Genomic DNA, 22,806 nt, shown 5'->3' on the forward strand with positions numbered 1-22,806 from the left:
AGGCAGAGGTTGCAGTGAACCAAGATCACGCCATTGCACTTCAGCCTGGGCAACAAGAGCAAAACTCTGTCTCAAAAAAAACACAACCTTTTCTTGAATAGATAATACATCTACGTGGTTCCAAATTCAAAAGGGACATAAGAGATATACAGTAGAATGTCCACTCCTTTCTGCTCTTCCAGAGAATAGAAACTCTCCCATCCCTGTTCCTAGTCCTCAGTTCCTCCACCTCAAAGGCATCACTGCTATCAGTGTTTTTAAGTTTCTTTCCAGAAGTGGGATGATATACTTTGAGGTCTTCTATATTTTAAATGAGCTCTGGGAGAGAAGGCCCCCTTTTCTCCAGTGAGATGGAGGTATCTGCTCAGCAGGGTGTGGGTTCTGCCTTCCCTTGGTGGGAGGAAGGGAAGAAGGCACACAGTGTTTTTTTTTTTTTTTTTTGGAGATAGAGTTTTGCTTTTGTCACCCAAGCTGGAGTGCAGTGGCGCAATCTCGGCTCACTGCAACCTCCACCTCCCGGGTTCAAGCAATTCTTCTGCTTCAGCCTCCTGAGTAGCTGGGATTACAGGCATGCGCCACCACGCCTAGCTAAGTTTTTGTATTATTAGTAGAGACAAGGTTTCACCGTGTTGGTCAGGCTGGTCTTGAACTCCTGACCTCAGGTGATCCACCTGCCTCAGCCTCCCAAAGTGCTGGGATTATAGGCATGAGCCACTGTACCTGGCCACATGGTGGTATTATATGTATGTATGAAGATCAAGTAAAATCTTTTTTTTTTTTTTTGAGACAGGGTCTCACTCTGTCACCCAGGCTGGAGAACAGTGGCATAATCACTGCTCACTGCAGCCTCTCTCAAGCTCAAGTGATCCTCCCACCTCAGCCTCCCAAGTAGCTGGGATTACAGGTGTGCACCACCAGGCCCAGTTTATTTTTGTATTTTTTGTAGAGATGGGGTTTCACCATGTTGCCCGGACTGGTCTTGAACTCCTGAGCTCAAGCAGTCCACCCGCCTTGGCCTTCCAAAGTGGTGGGATTACAGGTGTGAGCCACTGCTCCTGGCCATCAAGCAAAATCTTTAAACTTTTAACAAAGCCTAGCTCCCCAGGGCTGTATCAGAGGAAGTGGATTCTTTTAGGTTAGTGAGTCTCAAAGTGTGGTACCTGGACCAGTAGCATCAGTATCACCTGGGGAACTTGGTTAGAAATGCAAATTCTCAAGTCCTAACCCAGACCTACTGAATCAGAAGCTCTGGAGGTTAGGTCCAGCAACCGGTATGTTAAAAGGCTCTCCAGGGGCCTTCTGTTAGTCTGAGAATCAGTGGTTTATCTAGTAGGAACTGACAGGGAAGTCAGCCCGCAGGTAGAAGTTTCATAGTTTCTAGTGAAGTCTCTCAGCCTAAACTCATTTCTTCATCTTCTAGGACTCCTCCTATTTATGGAGCAGGCACCCAACATGGCTGAGCCCCGGGGCCCCGTAGACCATGGAGTCCAGATTCGCTTCATCACAGAGCCAGTGAGTGGTGCAGAGATGGGCACTCTACGTCGAGGTGGACGACGCCCAGCTAAGGATGCAAGAGCCAGTACCTACGGGGTTGCTGTGCGTGTGCAGGGAATCGCTGGGCAGCCCTTTGTGGTGCTCAACAGTGGGGAGAAAGGCGGTGACTCCTTTGGGGTCCAAATCAAGGGGGCCAATGACCAAGGGGCCTCAGGAGCTCTGAGCTCAGATTTGGAACTCCCTGAGAACCCCTACTCTCAGGTCAAGGGATTTCCTGCCCCCTCGCAGAGCAGCACATCTGATGAGGAGCCTGGGGCCTACTGGAATGGAAAGCTACTCCGTTCCCACTCCCAGGCCTCACTGGCAGGCCCTGGCCCAGTGGATCCTAGTAACAGAAGCAACAGCATGCTGGAGCTAGCCCCGAAAGTGGCTTCCCCAGGTAGCACCATTGACACTGCTCCCCTGTCTTCAGTGGACTCACTCATCAACAAGTTTGACAGTCAACTTGGAGGCCAGGCCCGGGGTCGGACTGGCCGCCGAACACGGATGCTACCCCCTGAACAGCGCAAACGGAGCAAGAGCCTGGACAGCCGCCTCCCACGGGACACCTTTGAGGAACGGGAGCGCCAGTCCACCAACCACTGGACCTCTAGCACAAAATATGACAACCATGTGGGCACTTCGAAGCAGCCAGCCCAGAGCCAGAACCTGAGTCCTCTCAGTGGCTTTAGCCGTTCTCGTCAGACTCAGGACTGGGTCCTTCAGAGTTTTGAGGAGCCGCGGAGGAGTGCACAGGACCCCACCATGCTGCAGGTCAGACCCAGCCCCTCCCTGACTTCTAAATGTCAGCCCCTTCTCCCTTCTCATCAGCTTTTACCCACCAGCCATGAGCCTCCTTGCTAATTCAAATAGCCTAGGCAGAAACTCTCTGCCTTTTGTTCTCTACTGTATCTGTCCACAAAATAGGTGATATTCACATGCACAGGATATTTCCATGGGTAAAATTCTAAAGAAAATGGAGCAAGCTATAAAATCACTATTCACAAGTTTGGACCTAGTTGTCATTGCCACAACCATTAACTATGGCTCAGTCACCAGCATTTGCAAGGTCTGCAGAATATGTAAGGCGGGCTTGGAGGATAAGAGCAGTTTCCTTGGTGCTCTTGCCAAAATTCCACACCTTTCTCTCCTACTCAGGAATGTAAGTAAGTGAGGGAGTGACTTTACTTTGAGAGAAACGTAAGTCTGTTTTAAAAGTAAATTATTTATAAACTCTAGCATGTTAACTACCATTAGTGACAAATCACTTGTGGCACAGTTTGCAGCTGGTTGAGATGTTTGTTGAGGAAAATCTGGTTTACAGCAACAGTGCAGAGGTGCATCCTGTGTTGGCCTCTCCCTGGCCTGTTGCTCAGGCCTCCACAGCATGTTTTCCTTGCTGCATTTCAGGATTGTTCATCATGCTTGAAGGGACTTGACCTGAGACTGCCACTTCTCCTCCATCTGAACCCCACGCATGCTTCTGGCCTAATCTTCCTATTTCTTTCTTTCTTTCTTTTTTTTTTCTTTTTCTTTTTTTTTAACAGTTCAAATCAACTCCAGACCTCCTTCGAGACCAGCAGGAGGCAGCCCCACCAGGCAGTGTGGACCATATGAAGGCCACCATCTATGGCATCCTGAGGGAGGGGTGAGTGGGGGCCCCCCCAACAACAGAGGCATACCCCTCCTTCTTTTTCTTCTAGCTTTGTTTCCCATCTTCCCTGATTTTACCCTTTCCTGATCTCTGCTACCTCTTTCCTCCCCTAACCCTTGCTTCTATCCTTTTATCCTCTAGAAGCTCAGAAAGTGAAACCTCTGTGAGGAGGAAGGTTAGTTTGGTGCTGGAGAAGATGCAGCCTCTAGTGGTGAGTGGCCTTCTCTGGATGGGAGCAAGGGTCAAGGTTAGAGCTTTGAGGGCCTCAGGGGATCCAGACTTGGACTCACTCCCTTCCCCCACACCCCCCATATCTCTGGCAGATGGTTTCTTCTGGTTCTACTAAGGCCGTGGCAGGGCAGGGTGAGCTTACCCGAAAAGTGGAGGAGCTACAGCGAAAGCTGGATGAAGAGGTGAAGGTAAGGAAAGGTTAGAGGTGCCGGAGGCATGAAGGAAAACAGGGAAAAAGCCTTGGCCTGGAGATGGGCTGAGCTGACCCTTCTAAGCAATGGAACAAGCATGTTTGTGTCTTATGAGACAAGAGACAAGAATGTGTACTAATTCCAGGAAGGACTTCTGGGGTTCTGTGGGGGTTAGGGAGGCAGAGCACATTAGGAATCTACCTACCTTCCATTCCACTCCCTTTGGGAGTTCCCATCCTGGCTCTGCCCCTTACTAGCTATATAAAACTTAAGAAAATTACTTACATTCTCTGTGCCTCAATTTTTTTTTATCATTATCATAATAATGGCAATAGTAGTAGCTATCATTTATTGAGTATAATTTTGGTAGTATGTACTGTCCTGGGTACTGTAATCATTATAGTTACCCTGTGAATACCTATTCTGGACCCTTTTCTGATGAGAAAACTGAAGATCAGAGAGGCTAAGTAAATTGCCTATGGTAGTAAGTTGCAGAGAGGAATGAAAAAATCCGGGTCAGTCTTATTCTAAAGCCAGTGTACCCTTTTTAAAAACATGTCTTCTGCCTTTCATCATATTGGTTTGTGTGTAGTTGGTGCTCAATAAATGTTGGATTGTAACTTCCCTTGTCTTTTGGAAATCACTGTAGTGTAATGATTAAGTGATTGGCTGTGGAGCCAAACTAACTGGGTTCAAATCCTGGTTCTGTTACTTGTTGGCTGTGTAACTGACCTTGGGCAAGTTCTTTAAATGTTCTAAGCCTCTGTTTCCTAAATTGTAAAGTGGGGATTATGATAGTACTATATTAATTAACTATTGCTGTGTAACAAATTACCCAAAACTCAATAGCTTTAAACAAACATTTCCCAGCCGGGCGCAGTGGCTCACACCTGTAATCCTTTGGGAGGCTGAGGCAGGCAGATCACCTGAGGTTGGGAGTTTGAGACCAGCCTGACCAACATGGAGAAATCCTGTCTCTACTAAAAATACAAAATTAGCCTGGTATGGTGGCACATGCCTGTAATCCCAGCTACTTGGGAGGCTGAGGCAGGAGAATTACTTGCACCCGGGAGGTGGAGGTTGTGGTGAGCTGAGATCCTGCCATTGCACTCCAGCCTGGGCAACAAGAGTGAAACTCTTTCTCAAAAAAAAAGCATTTCCCAGAGTCTGAGGATGAAGAACCTGGGATCAGCTTAACAGGGTAATTGTGGCTCTGAGCCTGTTATAAGGTTCCAGTCCAGCTTCTGGCTGTGGCCAAAAGAAGTAAATTGGAGGATCTGCTTCTAAAATGGCTTACTCAGGGCCAGGCATGGTGGCTTACGCCTATAATCCCAGCACTTTGGGAGGGCAAGGTGGGAGGACCACTTGAACCCAGGAGTTTGAGACCAGCCTGGGCAACATAGTGAGAACCCGCCTCTACAAAAAATTAGCCAGATGTGATGGCATGTGCCTGTAGTTCCAGCTACTTAGGAGACTGAAGTGGGAGGATTTTTTGAGCCCAGGAGGTTAAGACTGCAGTGAGCTGTGATTGCACTGCTGCACTCCAGCCTGGGTGCCAGAGCAAGACCCTGTCTCAAAAAAATATAAATAAGTGAATGAAGCAAACAAAACCAGTTTAATGAATAAGATAGACAAAACCAGCTTAATTGGCTGGGTGCAATGGCTCACACCCATAATCCCAGCCCTTTGGGAGGCTGAGGTGGGTGGATCACCTGAGGTCAGGAGTTTGAGACCAGCCTGGCCAACATGGTGAAACCCTGTCTCTACTGAAAATACAAAAATTAGTTGGGCATGGTGGCAGGCATCTGTAATCCCTGCTGCTTGGGAGGCTGAGGCAGGGAGACTTGCTTGAACCTGGGAGGCAGAGGTTGCCATGAGCCGAGATTGCGCCACTGCACTCCAGCTTGGGCAACAGAGCGAGACTCCATCTCAAAAAACAAACAAACAAAAAAAACAAAAAACCAGGCCGGGCGCTGTGGGAGGCTGAGGTGGACAGATTACCTGAGGTCGGGAGTTTGAGACCAGCCTGACCAACATGGAGAAACCCTGTCTCTACTAATAATACAAAAATTAGCCAGGTGAGGTGATGCATGCCTGTAATCCCAGCTACTTAGGAGGCTGAGGCACGAGAATTGCTTGAACCCGGGAGGTGGAGGTTGCGGTGAGCTGAGATCTCGCCATTGCACTCCAGCCTAGGCAAGAGCAAAACTCCATCTCAAAACAAAACACCAAGAAAAAAAAAAAATCAATAAAAATAATAAAAACCCAGCTTAATCAAATGGCTGTTGGTTGTAAACCTCAGTTCCTGGCTGTTTGGCCTTCCTCACAGAGCTACTTTTGAGTATCCTCACAATATAACAGCTATTTTTTTCCCAGAGTGAGGGATCCAAGAGAAAAGCTGCAATGCCTTTTTATGACCTAACATCAGAATTTACTCATCACGTCCTCCTTTTTCTGTTTGTTAGAAGGAAGCCCCTAAGTCAAGCCCGTGCTCGAGGCAAACAGAATTAGGCTTTATCTTTTGAAAGAAATGTCAGATAATTTGTGAACATATTTTACATCATCACAAGTACCAAGGCTAGTTATGAGGATTAGATGTGGATAATACACATAAGGTCCTAAGTATAGTGTCTATCATACAGCAAGTGTCCAATGAGTGTTAGACATTCCCATTATTCTGAGTCTTTCTGAGAGGCTTTCCCTACCCTCTACCTGCTGTACTCTCATTCCCTTTTACAGAAGCGGCAGAAGCTAGAGCCATCCCAAGTTGGGCTGGAGCGGCAGCTGGAGGAGAAAACAGAAGAGTGCAGCCGACTGCAGGAGCTGCTGGAGAGGAGGAAGGGGGAGGCCCAGCAGAGCAACAAGGAGTGAGTGCAGCTGGTGGCGCACCTCGGGCTGCTTGGGGGCCTAGGCCAGGTTTAGAGGCCACTCCCTCTTTGCCCCTAGGGTTGAAGGAGACAGAAGGAAATCTCCAGAAGCTGAAAGGGGCAGTGTTGGTTTAAGGACAGGATAGGGCCTTTCTCTCTACCTTCTTTATCAATAATGGTGGTAGTGCATGATTTGGAGTTAAGCTACCTGGGTTTGCCTCTGTCTCAGATTCTTAAGCTATAAAATAGACTTAATAATAGTACCTACCTCACAGGATCATTGTAAGGATTCAGTCATCCATTCAGCAGATGTTTCATCAAGAATGCTGTGACAGGCATTAATCTAGGTTCCCAAGACACATCAGTGAACCCTATAGATGAAGGGCTCGCTCTCCAGAAGCTTAGTTTCTACTGAGAGGGAACAGACAGTAAACAAACATATTTTGCAAGTAAATTTGTAACACACGAGAAGGCAGTAAATACAACAGGGTAAGGCAGATCAGGAGGGCCAGGTTGTAGCGGGGCAGGTTGCAAAAATCAGGGGAGGCCTCATCAAGATTTGAAGGAAGGAAGTTTAAATGCATTAATAAATATGAATTAAAATATATGATGCGTTTAGAGAACTGCCTGACACATAGTGTGCAATAATGTTATCTATTATTAGGCTCCAGAACATGAAGCGCCTCTTGGACCAGGGTGAAGATTTACGACATGGGCTGGAGACCCAGGTGATGGAGCTGCAGAACAAGCTGAAACATGTCCAGGGTCCTGAGCCTGCTAAGGAGGTGTTACTGAAGGTAGGGTCTGGGGTCATATGCCCCAGCCTCTGCTTTTTCTCAGTTGGAGCATCCTCAAGTCTGCTCATCCATGGTTTCCCCAAAGTATGAGGAGTGGGTGGCTGATTACAGGTACTCAGTGTGCTTTCAGGTAGATTCAATGGTGTGTTGGGACTAGAGTTAGGATAAAGGAAACCTATCATTCTGGGCTCCAGTACTGGTACTAGAGCACCTGGTACTGTGCCTAATACGATAAATATTTTTTGACTCAGTGAATTGATAAACAGATGGATTCTAATATGGTCACCCCTGTACTTCTTCCTTTATTTTCTCCAGGACCTGTTAGAGACCCGGGAACTTCTGGAAGAGGTCTTGGAGGGGAAACAGCGAGTAGAGGAGCAGCTGAGGCTGCGGGAGCGGGAGTTGACAGCCCTGAAGGGGGCCCTGAAAGAGGAGGTAGCCTCCCGTGACCAGGAGGTGGAACATGTCCGGCAGCAGTACCAGCGAGACACAGAGCAGCTCCGCAGGAGCATGCAAGATGCAACCCAGGCATGTGACAAGAGCAGGGTCTGAGAGAGGAGGGCACTGCTGGAGAACAAGGCTGCCTTGGGATCTTGGACTTTTGGACTTTTCATGGTTGCAACTGGGAACTCCCCCTCTCCTCCTAAAGGACACAGTGAGATCTGCTGAAAACCTTGGGCAGGAAAACTATAGGGGCAGAGGGAGGGAGTACAGGCCAGAAGTACCTTGAGGTTGTGTGACAAAAGTCCCAAGGGGGACTGGGTGCGGTAGCTCATGCATGTAATCCCAGCACTTTGGGAGGCTGAGGCGGGTGGACTGCTTGAGCTCAGGAAGTTAGAGACCAGCCTGGGTAACATGGAGAAACCCCATCTCTGCCAAAAATACAAAAACTTAGCTGGGTGTAGTGATGCGTACTTGTAGTCCTAGCTACTTGGGAGGCTAAGGCAGGAGAATCGCTTGAACCAAGGAAGCGGAGGTTGCAGTGAGCCGAGATCATGCCATTGCACTTCACCCTGGGCAACACAGCGAGACTCTGTCCCCCTAAAAATAAAAAGTCCCAAGGGGAAATAACTGGGGAGGTTTCCTGTAGATGATAGAGGGGTGGACTGTGACTTGAGGAGAGAATCTCTGCTAGCATTGTACCAGGTACCACAAGAGTGTCAGGGGGTGCACCTGGCATGGTGCCCTCTGGGTCTAAGCCTTTCCTTGTACACACTCACACTTTGATTTGAAGTGACCTCTTCCCTCTGAGCCTTCTGGTGTCCAACTCTCCCCTTCTCTAGGACCATGCAGTGCTGGAGGCCGAGAGGCAGAAGATGTCAGCCCTTGTGCGAGGGCTGCAGAGGGAGCTGGAGGAGACTTCAGAGGAGACAGGGCATTGGCAGAGTATGTTCCAGAAGAACAAGGAGGATCTTAGAGCCACCAAGCAGGAGTAAGGACATTGGCCCTCTCAGAAATACCCATGATTCATATGCCACTTCCTTTCTTTTTTTTAATTTTTAATTTTAATTTTAATTTTAATTTATTTTTTGGGACAGAGTTTCGCTCTTGTTTCCCAGGCTGGAGTGTCATGGCACGATCTTGGCTCACTGCAACCTCTGCCTCCTGAGTTGAACAGATTCTCCTGCCTCAGCCTCCCAAGTAGCTGGGATTACAGGCGCATGCCACTACGCCCAGCTAATTTTTGTATTTTTAGTAGAGATGAGGTTTTACCATGTTGGCCAGGCCAGTCTCGAACTCCTGACCTCAGGTGATCTGTCCACCTTGCCTCCCAAAGCACTGGGATTACGGGTGTGAGCCGCTGCGCCTGGCCCCCTTTCTCCTTTTTTTTTTTTTTTGAGATGGAGTCACACTCTGTTGCCCAGGCTAGAGTGCAGTGGTGCAGTCTTGGCTCACTGCAGCCTCCGCCTCCTGGGTTCAAGCGATTCTCCTGCCTCAGCCTCCCGAGTAGCTGGGATTATAGGCGCCTGCCACTAGGCCTGGGTTTTTTGTATTTTTAGTAGAGACGGGGTTTCACCATATTGGCCAGGCTGGTCTTGAACTCCTGACTTCGTGATCCTCCCACCTCGGCCCCCCAAAACGCTGGGATTACAGGCGTGAGCCACTGCACCCAGTCCCTTTCTTCTTTTTTTTGAGACAGGGTCTTGCTCTGTTGCCCAGGCTGGAGTGCAGTGGCACAGTCTGGGCTCACTGCAACCTCCACCTCCTGGGCTCAAGCCATCCTCCCACCTCAGCCTCCCGAATAGGTGGGACTATAGGCATGCACCACCACACTTGGCTAATTTTTGTATTTTTTGTAGAGACGGGGTTTCATTATGTTGCCCAGGCTGGTCTTGAACTCCTGGGCTCAAGTGATCCATCTGCCTTGGCCTCCCAAATTGCTGGGATTACAGGCATGAGCCACCATGCCTGGCCCACTTCCTTTCTATCTATGGTATGCTCTTACTCTCCCATTTCTCAAACTGCTCTTTTCCACGTTCACCTTCCTTCCTCTTGAGAGTTGGTGCCCAGCGTGTTGGCCTCCAGAGAGGTGGCTTTTATTGTCATGCTAACCTCCCCCAGGCATGTGGCCTTACTCTGTTCCCTTTCCCCTTTATTTCACCTTGCCTGGCTCAGACTCCTGCAGCTGCGAATGGAGAAGGAGGAGATGGAAGAGGAGCTTGGAGAGAAGATAGAGGTCTTGCAGAGGGAATTAGAGCAGGCCCGAGCTAGTGCTGGAGATACTCGCCAGGTTGAGGTGCTCAAGAAGGTATTTGGGAATTGGGGGGCAGAATGGTAGGTAGGGGTGATGAACACCTGCCTTACCTCTCCATGAGGGCCTTCTTGCTAGTGGGGCTATCTCCTGTGTGCTTGGTTTCCAGGCCTCATCCTGCCTGCTCAGCTTGATCTCTTTCCAGCACAGCAGCACCAGTCTCCTCATTGAGCATAGAGGTTTCTAATGGAAAGTGCTCTCAGAACCCAGGTTGGGGTATAGCCAGAGGCTGCTGGCCGACTCCCAAGAGACGTCATGGGTAGCAGCATTTAGGTGGATTTGTGAAACTCCAGGATGATTTTTGCAGGCTCAGAAATCTAATTTGGTCAGCATGGCAAAAGCTGCTTTGTCTTTCAGAGGGGTCTCTAACTACATTTATGAAAAAATGTTTACCATTAGAATTTCAGTTTATTAATTTACATTGAGAAATATCATCACATGGACTGGAATACTTGTGTTGGCATGGCCTGGTTACTAATGTAACAAAACTAATTAGCAAAAGAAAAATAGCAGAGTATATGGTATTACATTGAAGATTCACTACATATTATATAACCCTTTAGCCTAATTATGGTACTTTCTGAATTTCAGAAGTAGCTAATAGCTAATAATTAGAACCAGAACTCCTATTTTAATTTTCTTTTTAAAAGAAATCAGAGCTGTGCCAGCATTTATTGTGTCACACATTTTGGTTTTATACACACACACACACACACACACACACACACGAAAGACAAGTGGCAGCTGCAGGGATTGTGCTGACCTGTTCTGTCAAAGTCTCTCCAGGTTGCTCTTGCATGCAGTTGGAGATCCCATGGCCACACTATATATATATATATATTTTTTTTTTTTTTTTTTTTTTTGAGACGGAGTCTCACTCTGTCACCCAGGGTGGAATGCAGTGGCGTGATCTCGGCTCACTGCAAGCTCCGCCTCCTGGGTTCACGCCGTTCTCCTGCCTCAGCCTCCCGAGTTGCTGGGACTACAGGCGCCCACCACCACGCCCGGCTAATTTTTTTTGTATTTTTACAAAAAAAATACACGTACTCAGTGTTTCACCGTGAAACATGGTTTCACCGTGTTAACCAGGTTGGTCTTGATCTCCTGACCTTGTGATCCGCCCTCCTTGGCCTCCCAAAGTGCCGGGATTACAGGCGTGAGCCACCGCACCCAGCCTCACACTGTATTTTTTTTAAACAACCAGCCTTACTAGCCATACCTTCATGTACTCTCCCTTCATGGTATTTTTTTTTTTATGGAGTTATATTTTACATGCTATAAAAGTCATCTTTGTGTACAATCCAATGGGTTTTTTTTTTCTTTTTGAGATGGAGTCTTACTCTGCTACCCAAGCTGGAGTGCAGTGGCACAATCTCGGCTCACTGCAACCTCTGCCTTCTGGTTCAAGCCATTCTCCTGCCTCAGCTTCCCAAGCAGCTGGGATTACAGGCACACACCACCACGCCCGGCTAATTTTTGTATTTTTGGTAGAGACAGGGTTTCACCATGTTGTCCAGGCTGGTTTTGAACTCCTGACCTCAGGTGATCCACCCGCCTCAGCCTCCCAAACTGCAGGCATGAGCCACTGGCGCCTGGCCCCCAGTGGTTTTTATTATATTAACAAAGTTGTACAACCATCATCACTATTTAATTACAGAACATTTTCATTACCCCCTCAAAGGCGCCAAACCCATTAGCAATAATTCCCCCCACCCAATGGCAACCACTAATCTACTTTTTGTCTCTGGATTTACCTATTCTGGATATTTAATATAATTGAATCCTATAATATATGGGCCTTAAGGGTCTGGCTTCTTTCACCTAGCATAGTGTTTTCAAGGTTTGTCCATGTGGTAGCAAGTATGAGTACTTCATTCCTTTTTATGGCTGAATAACATTCCACTCTGTGGGTATACCGTGTTTAGTCCAGTCATCAATTCGTGGACATCTGGGTTGTGTATCCATCTGGGCTATAATGAATAATGCTACTATGAACATTCGCGTATAAGTTTTTTTGTGAACACATATTTTCGGTTCTCTTGGGTTACCTAAGAGTGGAATTGCTGGTGATATAAATGGTAAATCTGTGTTTAACTTTTTGAGAAACTGCCAAACTACTTTCCAAAGTGGCCACATCAGTTTTTATTCCCTTGGCAGTGTATGAGAGTTTCAGCTTCTCCACATTCAGGTATCTTAGTCTGGCTCTGGGTGCCCCATCACCATTCCCGTTTCCTTCCAGGAGCTGCTCCGGACACAGGAGGAGCTTAAGGAACTGCAGGCAGAACGGCAGAGCCAGGAGGTGGCTGGGCGACACCGGGACCGGGAGTTGGAGAAGCAGCTGGCGGTCCTGAGGGTCGAGGCTGATCGAGGTCGGGAGCTGGAAGAACAGAACCTCCAGCTACAAAAGACCCTCCAGCAACTGCGACAGGACTGTGAAGAGGCTTCCAAGGCAAGGGGAGTGGGCACAGGGCTTAGGAGGTGGAGGCTGAGGGTGTCTGGAGGGCTGAGGAGCCAGAGGGTGTGGAAAGTTACCTGTCATGGGTATGTACTGACCAGCTCCTGGGTCCTAGGCATGTGGTTCAAAGAAGCCAGGATTTGGCAGGGGGAGGATACCTGTATCTGTGTAGGGGTGGGATTCTCAGAGAAGCGTCTGGCTGGTGGCAGCTGCTCTCTTTAAGCCTCATTCTTATGGGCTGTCTTTGGGATGGCTTTCCTGGGTGTGGTCAATGGCCCCAAGCCCTGGGGTCTGAGCTGCCACGCCCTGGGGTCTGAGCTGCCACCCCCTGAACCGTCCTTAGGCTAAGATGGTGGCCGAGGCAGAGGCAACAGTGCTGGGGCAGCGGCGGGCCGCAGTGGAGACGACGCTTCGGGAGACCCAGGAGGAAAATGACGAATTCCGCCGGCGCATCCTGGGTTTGGAGCAGCAGCTGAAGGAGACTCGAGGTCTGGTGGATGGTGGGGAAGCGGTGGAGGCACGACTACGGGACAAGCTGCAGCGGCTGGAGGTCAGTGGTTCTGCCCTCCCAGCCCTCTCTGCTCAGCCCTGGTGAAATACTCCTATGCTAAGTAGTTAGCCATCAGTTTCACTTTGCCCTTAGTGTGCATCTGTTTTGCCTCCCCAAACCTGCTCTGTTAACCTTGGGTTTATTTCCTGGTGTATACTTTGGCGCCAATGTTCAGTCTTTGCACTGGTAGTTTTGTTTCTTATTTCTCACCCTTTGCTTGCTCTATGTGTCCTGATTTCTTTGCTAGGAGCCTGTTTTCATTGCACATCATTTTCATAAATACCTCCTTTCTCCTGCCCAGCTACCCACCTCCAAATGACTTGAACCCAAGTTTTACCTTTTCTCAGTCCAACCCTGCTTCCCTACCTCCCAGGCAGAGAAACAGCAGCTGGAGGAGGCCCTGAATGCGTCCCAGGAAGAGGAGGGGAGTCTGGCAGCAGCCAAGCGGGCACTGGAGGCACGCCTAGAGGAGGCTCAGCGGGGGCTGGCCCGCCTGGGGCAGGAGCAGCAGACACTGAACCGGGCCCTGGAGGAGGAAGGGAAGCAGCGGGAGGTGCTCCGGCGAGGCAAGGCTGAGCTGGAGGAGCAGAAGCGTTTGCTGGACAGGACTGTGGACCGACTGAACAAGGAGGTGGGGCATGGGGTATTCTGGGCCTTTAGGAAGAGGCCCAGCTCATCCAGAAGCTGGCCTGAGAGGACAGGGGCTTGGGGGAGAGGGGTTAGTCAGAATGTGTGATGATTATGGCCAGGTGCGGTGACTCACTCCTGTAATTCCAGCACTTTGAGAGGCTGAGGTAGGCAGATACCCGAGGTCAGGAGTTTGAGACCAGCCTGGCCAACATAGCAAAACTCTGTCTCTACTAAAAATACAAAAAATTAGCCGGGCTTGGTGGCTCATGCCTGTAGTCCCAGCTACTCAGGAGGGTGATGCAGGAGAGTCACTTGCACCCGGAAGGTGGAGGTTGCAGTGAGGCGAGATCATGCCACTGCACTTCAGCCTGGGTGACAGAGCAAGACTCTGTCTTAAGAAAAAAAAAAAAAGAATGTGTGATGTTTGCTTTCCTCAAGTTCATTGTTAGGAAGACCAAGACCAAATCTTCTGGAAGGGGCATCCTTCCTACCTCCCCTCCATGTTTTTGCTCTTTCCCTTACATCCTATTCCTTTATGGTCTTCATTCTTGGAGAACATCTCCTGGGATTCTCCCTTGGGAGTCTACAAAACCTAAATACAAGAATCTTCAATGGCCAGCTTGGGCAACATAATAAGACTCTGTCTCTACTTAAAAATAAAATTAGCCTGCTGTGGTGGCTTGTTCCTCAGTTTCTCTTTATAGATGGGGAATTGAGACCCAGAGAAGATAAGTAACTTGCCTATGGTTGCTAATTAGTGGTAGAGCCAGGATTTGAACCCAGACATCTGTATTCCCAGCTACTCGGAAGGCTGACGTAGGATTGCTTGAGCCCAGGAGGTTGAGGCTGCAGTGAGCTGTGACTGCCCCACTGCGCTACAGCAAGAGCCTGTCAAAAAAAAAAATCTTCATTGGTAGAATTTTAAATTTGGGTGAGGGGAAGGAGAAAAGAAAGAAAAAAGAAAAGGAAATAAATTGCTTTTGCTGCTAAGGTTCTCCTCCCAATCTTTTTGTAAAGCAAGAGCAAACACGTAATATGTTACATCAATTCTAAAGTGCACATTTTATCATTTGTCAATGAAAAATGCACATCTTATCATTTGTCAATGAAAAATGCACATCTTATCATTTGTCAATGAAAAATGCACATCTTATCATTTGTCAATGAAAAATGCACATTTTATCATTTCTGAAATAGAGTTGTGTCTTATACCTTATGGTATGTTATAGTTTAATTGGCATATTTTTCTTAGTGGTACGCCGTATAATCATTGGCACCTTGGGTTTGCTGAAATGGTCATTTAAGGCTTACTTTGTATCAGGCACTGTTGTAAGTACAGAACTTCACATAATTAACTAATGTAATTCTCACAACACCTTGTGATATAGTTACTATTTTTAATCCCATTTTACAGATGGGGGACTGAGACCCAGAGAGATAAGTAACTTGCACATGGTCACCAGTAAGTGGTAGAGCCAGGATTTGAACCCAGACATCTGTATATAACTATTAGCTATACTAGGAACCTAGGCCCAGGAAAGAGCAAGAGAGGGCTGCCTTGTCAGGAAGGAGACCCTTAGGGGAGAGTCTTGGGAGTCTGGGCCTGGAGAGGGTCATTTATGTACAGTGCTGAAGACCCTTTTCTCTGTGTTTCAGTTGGAGAAGATCGGGGAGGACTCTAAGCAAGCCCTGCAGCAGCTCCAGGCCCAGCTGGAGGATTATAAGGAAAAGGCCCGGCGGGAGGTGGCAGATGCCCAGCGCCAGGCCAAGGATTGGGCCAGTGAGGCTGAGAAGACCTCTGGAGGACTGAGCCGACTTCAGGATGAGGTAGAAGTCTAATATCCTTGGGTTTGAAGGTCCTTGCCTCTTTTTTTTTTTTTTTTTTTTTGTCCGAGACAGAGTCTCACTCTGTCGCCCAGGCTGGAGTTCAGTGGCGCGATCTTGGCTCACTGCAAGCTCTGCCTCCGGGGTTCACACCATTCTCCTGCCTCAGCCTCACAAGTAGCTGGGACTACAGGTGCCTGCCACCACGCCTGGCTAATTTTTTATATTTTCAGTAGAGACGGGGTTTCACCGTGTTAGCCAGGATGGTCTCAATCTCCTGACCTCGTGATCCGCCCTCCTCGGCCTCCCAAAATGCTAGGATAACAGGCATGAGCCACTGCGCCCAGCCCGGTCCTTGCCTCTTAACTGAACCTGTGGCCAAGGGTCCCTGGGGCCCAGGTTTAGGTCTAATGACTTGCAGGGTGGAGGAATATATTGTCTGTAGAGCAGTGATTTTCAAATTCTGTAGCTTAGAGCCACCTGAGGAGATTTTTAAAAATCCCCACACCCAGGCTGTATCCCATACCACTTCAGTCATCATCTCTGGGGATGGGATCCAGGATCAGAATTTAAAAAAACTCCTCAGGTGATTCCAAGTTGTGTAGAGACTTTAAAAACAATAAAGAAGCTGAGGACGGTGGCTCACGCCTGTAATCCCAGCACGTTGGGAGGCTGAGGCGGGCAGATCATGAGGTCAGGTGTTCAAGACCAGCCTGGCCAACATGGTGAAACCTTGTCTTTACTAAAAATACAAAAATTAGCTGAGCGTGGTGGTGCATGCCTGTAGTCCCAGCTACTCAGGAGGCTGAGGCAGGAGAATTGCTTGAACCTGGGAGGTGGAGGTTGCAGTGAGCCGCGATTGTGCCACTGCATTCCAGCCTGGGCGACAGAGCAAGACTCCATCTCAAAAAACAAAAACAAAAACAATAAAGGAAATTAATGAGGGCAGGTGCAGTGGCTCTTGCCTGTAATCCCAGCACTTTGGGAGGCTGTGGCGGGCAGATCACGAGGTCAGGAGATTGAGACCATCTTGGCTAACACGGTGAAACCCCGTCTCTACTAAAAATACAAAAAATTAGCCAAGCGTGGTGGCACATGCCTGTAGTCCCAGCTACTCGGGAGGCCGAGGCAGGAGAATCACTTGAACCTGGGAGGTGGAGATTGCTGTAAGCTGAGATCGCACCACTGTACTCCAGCCTGGGCGACAGAGCGAGACTCCATCTAAAAAATGAAAAAAAAAGAAAATGGATGAAAAGTCAGTTTGCTTTTTATTGTCATCATGCCACTGGTAATTCTAAAGAGTGACAGTGATGAAATGTTTCTGCCCACTGGGCTGGACTGCTCCTGCCCCTCAACCCTCACCTTCTCACTACACTGAGCTGTGGCATTTTTACCCCCTGCCCAGATCCAGAGGCTGCGGCAGGCCCTGCAGGCATCCCAGGCTGAGCGGGACACAGCCCGGCTGGACAAAGAGCTACTGGCCCAGCGACTGCAGGGGCTGGAGCAAGAGGCAGAGAACAAGAAGCGTTCCCAGGACGACAGGGCCCGGCAGCTGAAGGGTCTCGAGGTGAGGGCACTGAGGTGTGACCTGTGGAAAAAGGGTGGGACTTCCAAGCCTCTTTCTGTACTAGCGGTCAAAACCGACAGCCCACAGTTGATGAGTTTTGTTTGGCTGCAGTATTTTCAACAACTTTGAATCAATTGCCAATGTTTAGAAATTTATAGAGGTCACCTAAAAATTTGGATTTCTAGTTTCTTTTGTATTTGGCAGATATGGTAATACTGAGTGTCTTGTCCTGAGTCTGCATGGCAACAGTTGGCTGGAGCTGAGCAGTGGGTTTCCCCTTTAGAGTGAACAGTATTCTTCAGTTTGCTATATTTGATAATAATAATAGCAGCAGCAAACATATTGTGCTGTGTGATAGGCACTTAAGACTTAATCCTCAGAATAACTCTGTGGGGTAGGTAGTCTTGTTTTCTCCATTTTACAGATGAAGGAAACTGAGGCACAGAGAGATGAACTTGTCCATGGTCTACTGCCAGGAAGTGGTAAATCTGATTTTCAGACTGGACAGTCTGGTCCCATGTACATACTCTTAGCCTCTACGTGGTACTGCCTCCAGTACCTCAGTTTCTGAGTCTCTTCACCTCAGCCTTGGCCCAGGTACTTGGGTTTCTCTCTCTTTTCCCATTAGAGAAATAAGGTTTTCCAATGAAGAGTAGATTCTGGGGTTTGCCTTTCTGTCAAAGGGCCGTCACCAGAGCATGGCCCCGACCTGCCCATGATGCCACATCTGGTCAGTAGAGGGCGCTGGCTCCATAGTGGCTCTGGGTCCAGGCAAGTACCAAAAGGTTACTGGGATGTGCAAGAGAGAAAAGTCTGTTAATGCTGGAGTTTGAGAGGCTCCTGGTCTGAGTTTGGCATTCTGGTGTCCAGCATTTGGGACAGAATTACTTGTTCTTCTGTCCTAGGAAAAAGTCTCACGGCTGGAAACAGAGTTAGATGAGGAGAAGAACACCGTGGAGCTGCTAACAGATCGGGTGAATCGTGGCCGGGACCAGGTAACCGCCCCCACCCCTCATCTCTGTTTACCCCTGACTGCATCACCTCTTGGTTCTCTCAAAAACAACTCTACCCTCCCATCTTTCATCATCTGGCTGCCGAATCTGTGCGTGGCTGGGTCTCCTTCAGGGTTTTGTCTGCTTTGGGAAAGGTTGGCCAGTTTCCTTGGGTGGAAAGAAGCCAATGATTTGCATGGAGGAAGGGATCCTGGTGGCCTGGGCTGTTCTCTGACCTGAATTGGGGCTTCTTTGGTTTACAAGGGATACTAGTTCCTGGAGGGACGAAGGAGGCTCTGTTTGCATTCTCTGGCCCCTCCCATTTGAATAGGCTGTGATTTTTTAGTTGCCTGGGAATTTTTGGATTCAGGGTTCAGAGACCATCCTCCCATGACTCAGCCTCACTTTGTTCAGCTTGCTGGTTCATCCTTAGCCCTCCCCAAGTCTGGTCCTCTCACCCATCCCCACTAGGTGGATCAGCTGAGGACAGAGCTCATGCAGGAAAGGTCTGCTCGGCAGGACCTGGAGTGTGACAAAATCTCCTTGGAGAGACAGGTGATGGGGGAGGGGAGGATTCTTAGGGATGGACCCCAGGAGGTGAGTAAAATGGCCAGTGGAGTGCTAACTGTGGAGGCTTCCTGTCCCTCTCAGAACAAGGACCTGAAGACCCGGTTGGCCAGCTCAGAAGGCTTCCAGAAGCCTAGTGCCAGCCTCTCTCAGCTTGAGTCCCAGAATCAGTTGTTGCAGGAGCGGCTACAGGCTGAAGAGAGGTGACATAAGCCTATCCTTCCTCCCTTCCTCCCTCCTTTTCTTCCTCCCTCCCTCTTGGCTTTTCTCCTCTGTGGCTCCCTCCATCTTCCACCTCAGATATGGCCAGCCTGGCCTGATCTTTAGGGAACACTTTCTCCTGATAGAGAGCAAAGAGTGTTGCAGAAATTCTGAAATGTGAATGACGTCACTCTCCCTCATTCTTTGAATCTGCCCTGGATCCTGCCCAGTCTAATGGTGGAGCTCATGGCTGAGAGGAGTCCTTGGGGACAGTAGGGGGCCAAGTTAGGATTCCCTTAGAAATGGGGACACTCATAGACATTCTTCTACCTCACCTTAGGGAGAAGACAGTTCTGCAGTCTACCAATCGAAAACTGGAGCGGAAAGTTAAAGAACTATCCATCCAGATTGAAGACGAGCGGCAGCATGTCAATGACCAGAAAGACCAGGTGAGGACATGGCACCCTGGAGCCAAGCAACCTGGGGCAGGTATATATTATATGTTTTCCTGAAAGCCAAGGGAGGCCCTTATCTCCTATAGGTCCTCCAAACTTAGACTTTCCTTGTATAAGGACAGAGATTAGATTGAAAAGACTAGACTAGAGAAGTCATGGTAAGCGTATATATTGAGTGCTTATGATGTGCTAGGTTCTGTAAGTATTACACATGTGTTAATACATTTAATCCCTAAGACAACCATGTGAGGTTAAGGAACTTGCCCAAGGCCACATTTTTCCAGCGGCAATTATACCTTGTCAAGATTGTTATGGGGGAGGGTCCCAGGCCATGGTAGTAGATGCTATTCAGATGTGTGGACTTGGTATCCTGCCCAGCTAAGCCTGAGGGTGAAGGCTTTGAAGCGTCAGGTGGATGAAGCAGAAGAGGAAATTGAGCGACTGGACGGCCTGAGGAAGAAGGCCCAGCGTGAGGTGGAGGAGCAGCATGAGGTCAATGAACAGCTCCAGGCCCGGATCAAGTCTCTGGAGAAGGACTCCTGGTATGGGCTACCCTTTTGCCCTTGCTCCATAGGGACACTAGAGCAGGGAGGGAATGGTCTCTCCTGTGCTGGATAAGGAGGAGAATCTCTAACATGGTACTGTGTAGTCACTTGTTTCTGGTTGGAAGCCAGTATATTTATTTATTAGTATCTCAGCCACCATCCTGTACCTCCCCAAATCTGATTAGTTGGGGATTTTGTGAATAAACTTTAGGCCTTAGAAGAATTGGGGTTTCCTTTGTACAAAAAGGGTGGCTGTCTTAATATTTCTATTTTCCCCTCCCCAACCATTATTCTTCTCTCTGAGTCAGGCGCAAAGCTTCCCGCTCAGCTGCTGAGTCAGCTCTCAAAAACGAAGGGCTGAGCTCAGATGAGGAATTCGACAGTGTCTACGATCCCTCGTCCATTGCATCACTGCTTACGGAGAGCAACCTACAGACCAGCTCCTGTTAGCTCGTGGTCCTCAAGGACTCAGAAACCAGGCTCGAGGCCTATCCCAGCAAGTGCTGCTCTGCTCTGCCCACCCTGGGTTCTGCATTCCTATGGGTGACCCAATTATTCAGACCTAAGACAGGGAGGGGTCAGAGTGATGGTGATAAAAAAAAAAAATCATCAGCAATAAGCTGATAGATGGACTTTCCACTGTAGGAGTGGACATTTCAAGCCAACTGAGCCTTTTCCTCAAGTGCCGACACCTCCCTCATCTCTCTTATAGTGGAAGGATGGTCAGCATTAGGCTGATGGGGACTGAGAAGGATAGGAAGGGATAGAAATTGCCATGTGTATAAAGCTTTATTCTTTAGCCCTTAACCCTAAGGCTCAGGGAAATACCCTATGTTATTGTGCTCCCTGGATTCCTGCAACTCATTTTCCTTCCACTCTGGAGCAGGGTGAGGGGAATGTTATGGGTAACAGACATGCAGGCATGGCTCTACCCATTTCTTTGCACAAGTATGGGGCCCATGTGGTAGTCCCCATACCCCTCCAGTTCCTATATTTTTGTCTTCTTCCTTTCCCCTCTTTGCCATTCCTACCTTGCATTTTTCCTGTCAGTGCCTTAGCCAAGGCAAGGAGATAAGGATGCTCTTCTTGCTTTTTATATCTGCACATTCATACCTCTCCAAAGACCAGCTTTTCCCCAGCCAGGGCCCTCAGCCTTCCCTGCTGCCCCAGTGATTGATTGAGAGAGCTGTTGGGGTTTCTCTGCCAATGACCCCTGGGAGAGGGACTTTGGTAGGGTCATGATAAAGTGGCGGGGGTCTGGTCCTGCTCAGGGTTTTCATCCTTCCTCCTCTCCCTCCTCTGTGACTGTGGATATGGTTATAAGGTGGTTGCACCTGGGAGCCCTGACAACTGGCTGCACAAATTCCAAAAGTAAAGGTGTCAGTCCCTGTGGCCTTCCTTGGGGCTTCTCTGACCACATGTGCCCAACTTCAATAAGAGAACCAAGGGACCCTCATTTTCTGAGGTGCTTGGCTCTGATTCAGGGCTTTGCAAGGGGTTAGAAGCTGACTGTAAAAATGGGAAGAGGCAACGGAAGACATTTATTTCTCCTTTGGATTTTGGGGAGAACCAAGCCCTGGTAGGGAAGAGGTAAGGGGGATGATTCACCTCCATATTTCCTAAGCAGGTTGTATAGGGAGCCGGTGGCAGGAGGAAGGCTGTTTTCACAAATGACTTGTAATGTCGTGATTAAAAAAATTCCTATATTCTTCTGCAAATCAAACGTTCTTTCCCAATCCAATCCAGCCTTGGTTTTATTTTAAATTAAATATTAAAATTACACATTTATATTGAAATCCTTGGTTTGTCTTCTCATTCTTTTTCTTGGCATATTTGGAGGTCCAGATTTTATGAAGTCATATTAACTGTACAGCTTAGGAGCCGAAGCTGGAGTTTTCTTCACCTGACTTTTCAGAGGCCCTTTAGAACAGAGCAGATGGGACCTACGAAACCTGGAGATGTTTATAGCAGCCCCATTCTCTTCTCTCCTGAACAACCTTCTGGGAAGAACAAGGACAGTAAATGCCTTTTTTTTTTTTTTTTTTTTGAGACGGAGTCTCACTCTGTCACCCAGGCTGGAGTGTAATGGCATGATCTCAGCTCACTGCAACCTCTGCCTCCCGGGTTCAAGCGATTCTCCTGCCTCAGCCTCCTGAGTAGCTGGGATTACAGGCGCGTGCCTCCACACCCAGCTAATTTTTGTATTTTTAGTAGAGATGGCGTTTCACTGTGTTGGTCAGGCTGGTCTCAAACTCCTGACCTTGTGATCCGCCCACCTCGGCCTCCCAAAGTGGTGGGATTACAGGCATAAGCCACTGCGCCTGGCCAGCAGTAAATGCCTTTTTGAGGGTTAGAGTAGAACAGACCAGAACTGGGTTTTATTCCCTTGGGTCATAGTGATAACCCCAGCATTCACTTCCCAGGTAGAAAAATCCTCATTCATTCCTAACTGACATAGGACCCAGTCCCTAACTGGGAGGTAGGGACATTTCTGCTGTTCCTGCCCTAGTGTTGCCTTGAAGAGGGAGCTGGCCCTTCACTAGAGCCTATTGCCAGGTATAGGAGTACTATCCCTTCAGGAGTGGGTCAGACCTCCTCCTAAAGTATTCTGTCTGCTGTCTCTGTGGACCACAGCCAAGTGAAGAAGCCATCTGCCAAGAGCAGCTGGGCGGGGACGAAGCTCCAGGGTCCTGCTTGGCCAACCCTCTCTTCTAGGCCCTCAAGATCCCAGCCTAGGCTTGGGGAGAAAATGCAACTGGAAAAGTCAAGGCTCATCCTTTCTCACGAACACAAATTCCTTTTAAGGCAATGTGTCCCGCCTCTCCCAACTATATAAGGGCAGCGTCAGTAAAAGAGCTTCTGCAAAACAAGCCCCACCCAGAGCCTAAGCTGACTGGGCCTCCTGGGCCTCTTGCCAAGGAAGTGCACCTGCCAGACTGGCTTAGGCCAGTCTGAGTGAGCTGGACCTTGGTGCCTGCCTTTCTGCGGTGGAGGA

At 48.7% G+C, this 22,806-nt stretch overlaps 1 protein-coding gene and 1 non-coding gene across 4 annotated transcripts in view, besides 3 other annotated features; one reads left to right on the forward strand and one right to left on the reverse strand.

Annotated features, from left to right (window-relative positions):
• Positions 1-21,607, forward strand: part of CGN (cingulin) — a 28,523-nt gene extending 6,916 nt beyond the window's left edge. For 2 of the 3 annotated variants that reach the window (XM_005245365.6, NM_020770.3), the window contains exons 2-21: positions 1,421-2,307; positions 3,081-3,181; positions 3,329-3,398; positions 3,511-3,606; positions 6,349-6,476; positions 7,141-7,273; positions 7,589-7,801; positions 8,557-8,705; positions 9,890-10,022; positions 12,265-12,474; positions 12,824-13,030; positions 13,404-13,661; positions 15,317-15,487; positions 16,890-17,051; positions 17,957-18,046; positions 18,515-18,598; positions 18,695-18,813; positions 19,152-19,260; positions 19,645-19,808; positions 20,120-21,607. In XM_005245365.6, the coding sequence (XP_005245422.1) occupies positions 1,435-2,307; positions 3,081-3,181; positions 3,329-3,398; positions 3,511-3,606; positions 6,349-6,476; positions 7,141-7,273; positions 7,589-7,801; positions 8,557-8,705; positions 9,890-10,022; positions 12,265-12,474; positions 12,824-13,030; positions 13,404-13,661; positions 15,317-15,487; positions 16,890-17,051; positions 17,957-18,046; positions 18,515-18,598; positions 18,695-18,813; positions 19,152-19,260; positions 19,645-19,808; positions 20,120-20,261 (3,612 nt within the window). In that variant the 5' untranslated portion in view covers positions 1,421-1,434 and the 3' untranslated portion in view covers positions 20,262-21,607. Of the gene's footprint in view, positions 1-1,420; positions 2,308-3,080; positions 3,182-3,328; positions 3,399-3,510; positions 3,607-6,348; positions 6,477-7,140; positions 7,274-7,588; positions 7,802-8,556; positions 8,706-9,889; positions 10,023-12,264; positions 12,480-12,823; positions 13,031-13,403; positions 13,662-15,316; positions 15,488-16,889; positions 17,052-17,956; positions 18,047-18,514; positions 18,599-18,694; positions 18,814-19,151; positions 19,261-19,644; positions 19,809-20,119 lie in introns of those variants that run through there. The other variant, XR_921902.3, reaches the window with a different exon arrangement.
• Positions 5,939-6,474: an enhancer, noted in NCBI's record as "H3K4me1 hESC enhancer chr1:151495500-151496035 (GRCh37/hg19 assembly coordinates)". NCBI's record gives its function as "activates a minimal SCP1, AML or CMV promoter by ChIP-STARR-seq in naive H9 embryonic stem cells {active_cell/tissue: H9 hESC(naive)}" and the evidence as "EXISTENCE:reporter gene assay evidence [ECO:0000049][PMID:30033119]".
• Positions 6,429-7,628: an enhancer, noted in NCBI's record as "BRD4-independent group 4 enhancer chr1:151495990-151497189 (GRCh37/hg19 assembly coordinates)". NCBI's record gives its function as "activates an origin of replication core promoter dependent on BRD2, P300/CBP, MED14 and CDK7 cofactors, and independent of BRD4, by STARR-seq in HCT116 cells {active_cell/tissue: HCT116}" and the evidence as "EXISTENCE:reporter gene assay evidence [ECO:0000049][PMID:35650434]".
• Positions 10,746-10,853, reverse strand: LOC124900437 (small nucleolar RNA SNORA44). The gene has a single exon (XR_007067392.1). It is a non-coding gene; the product is annotated as a small nucleolar RNA SNORA44 (small nucleolar RNA).
• Positions 21,969-22,485: an enhancer, noted in NCBI's record as "H3K27ac-H3K4me1 hESC enhancer chr1:151511530-151512046 (GRCh37/hg19 assembly coordinates)". NCBI's record gives its function as "activates a minimal SCP1, AML or CMV promoter by ChIP-STARR-seq in naive H9 embryonic stem cells {active_cell/tissue: H9 hESC(naive)}" and the evidence as "EXISTENCE:reporter gene assay evidence [ECO:0000049][PMID:30033119]".

Source organism: Homo sapiens, chromosome 1, assembly GCF_000001405.40.
Source record: "Homo sapiens chromosome 1, GRCh38.p14 Primary Assembly".
NCBI classification, from domain to species: Eukaryota; Metazoa; Chordata; class Mammalia; order Primates; family Hominidae; genus Homo; species Homo sapiens.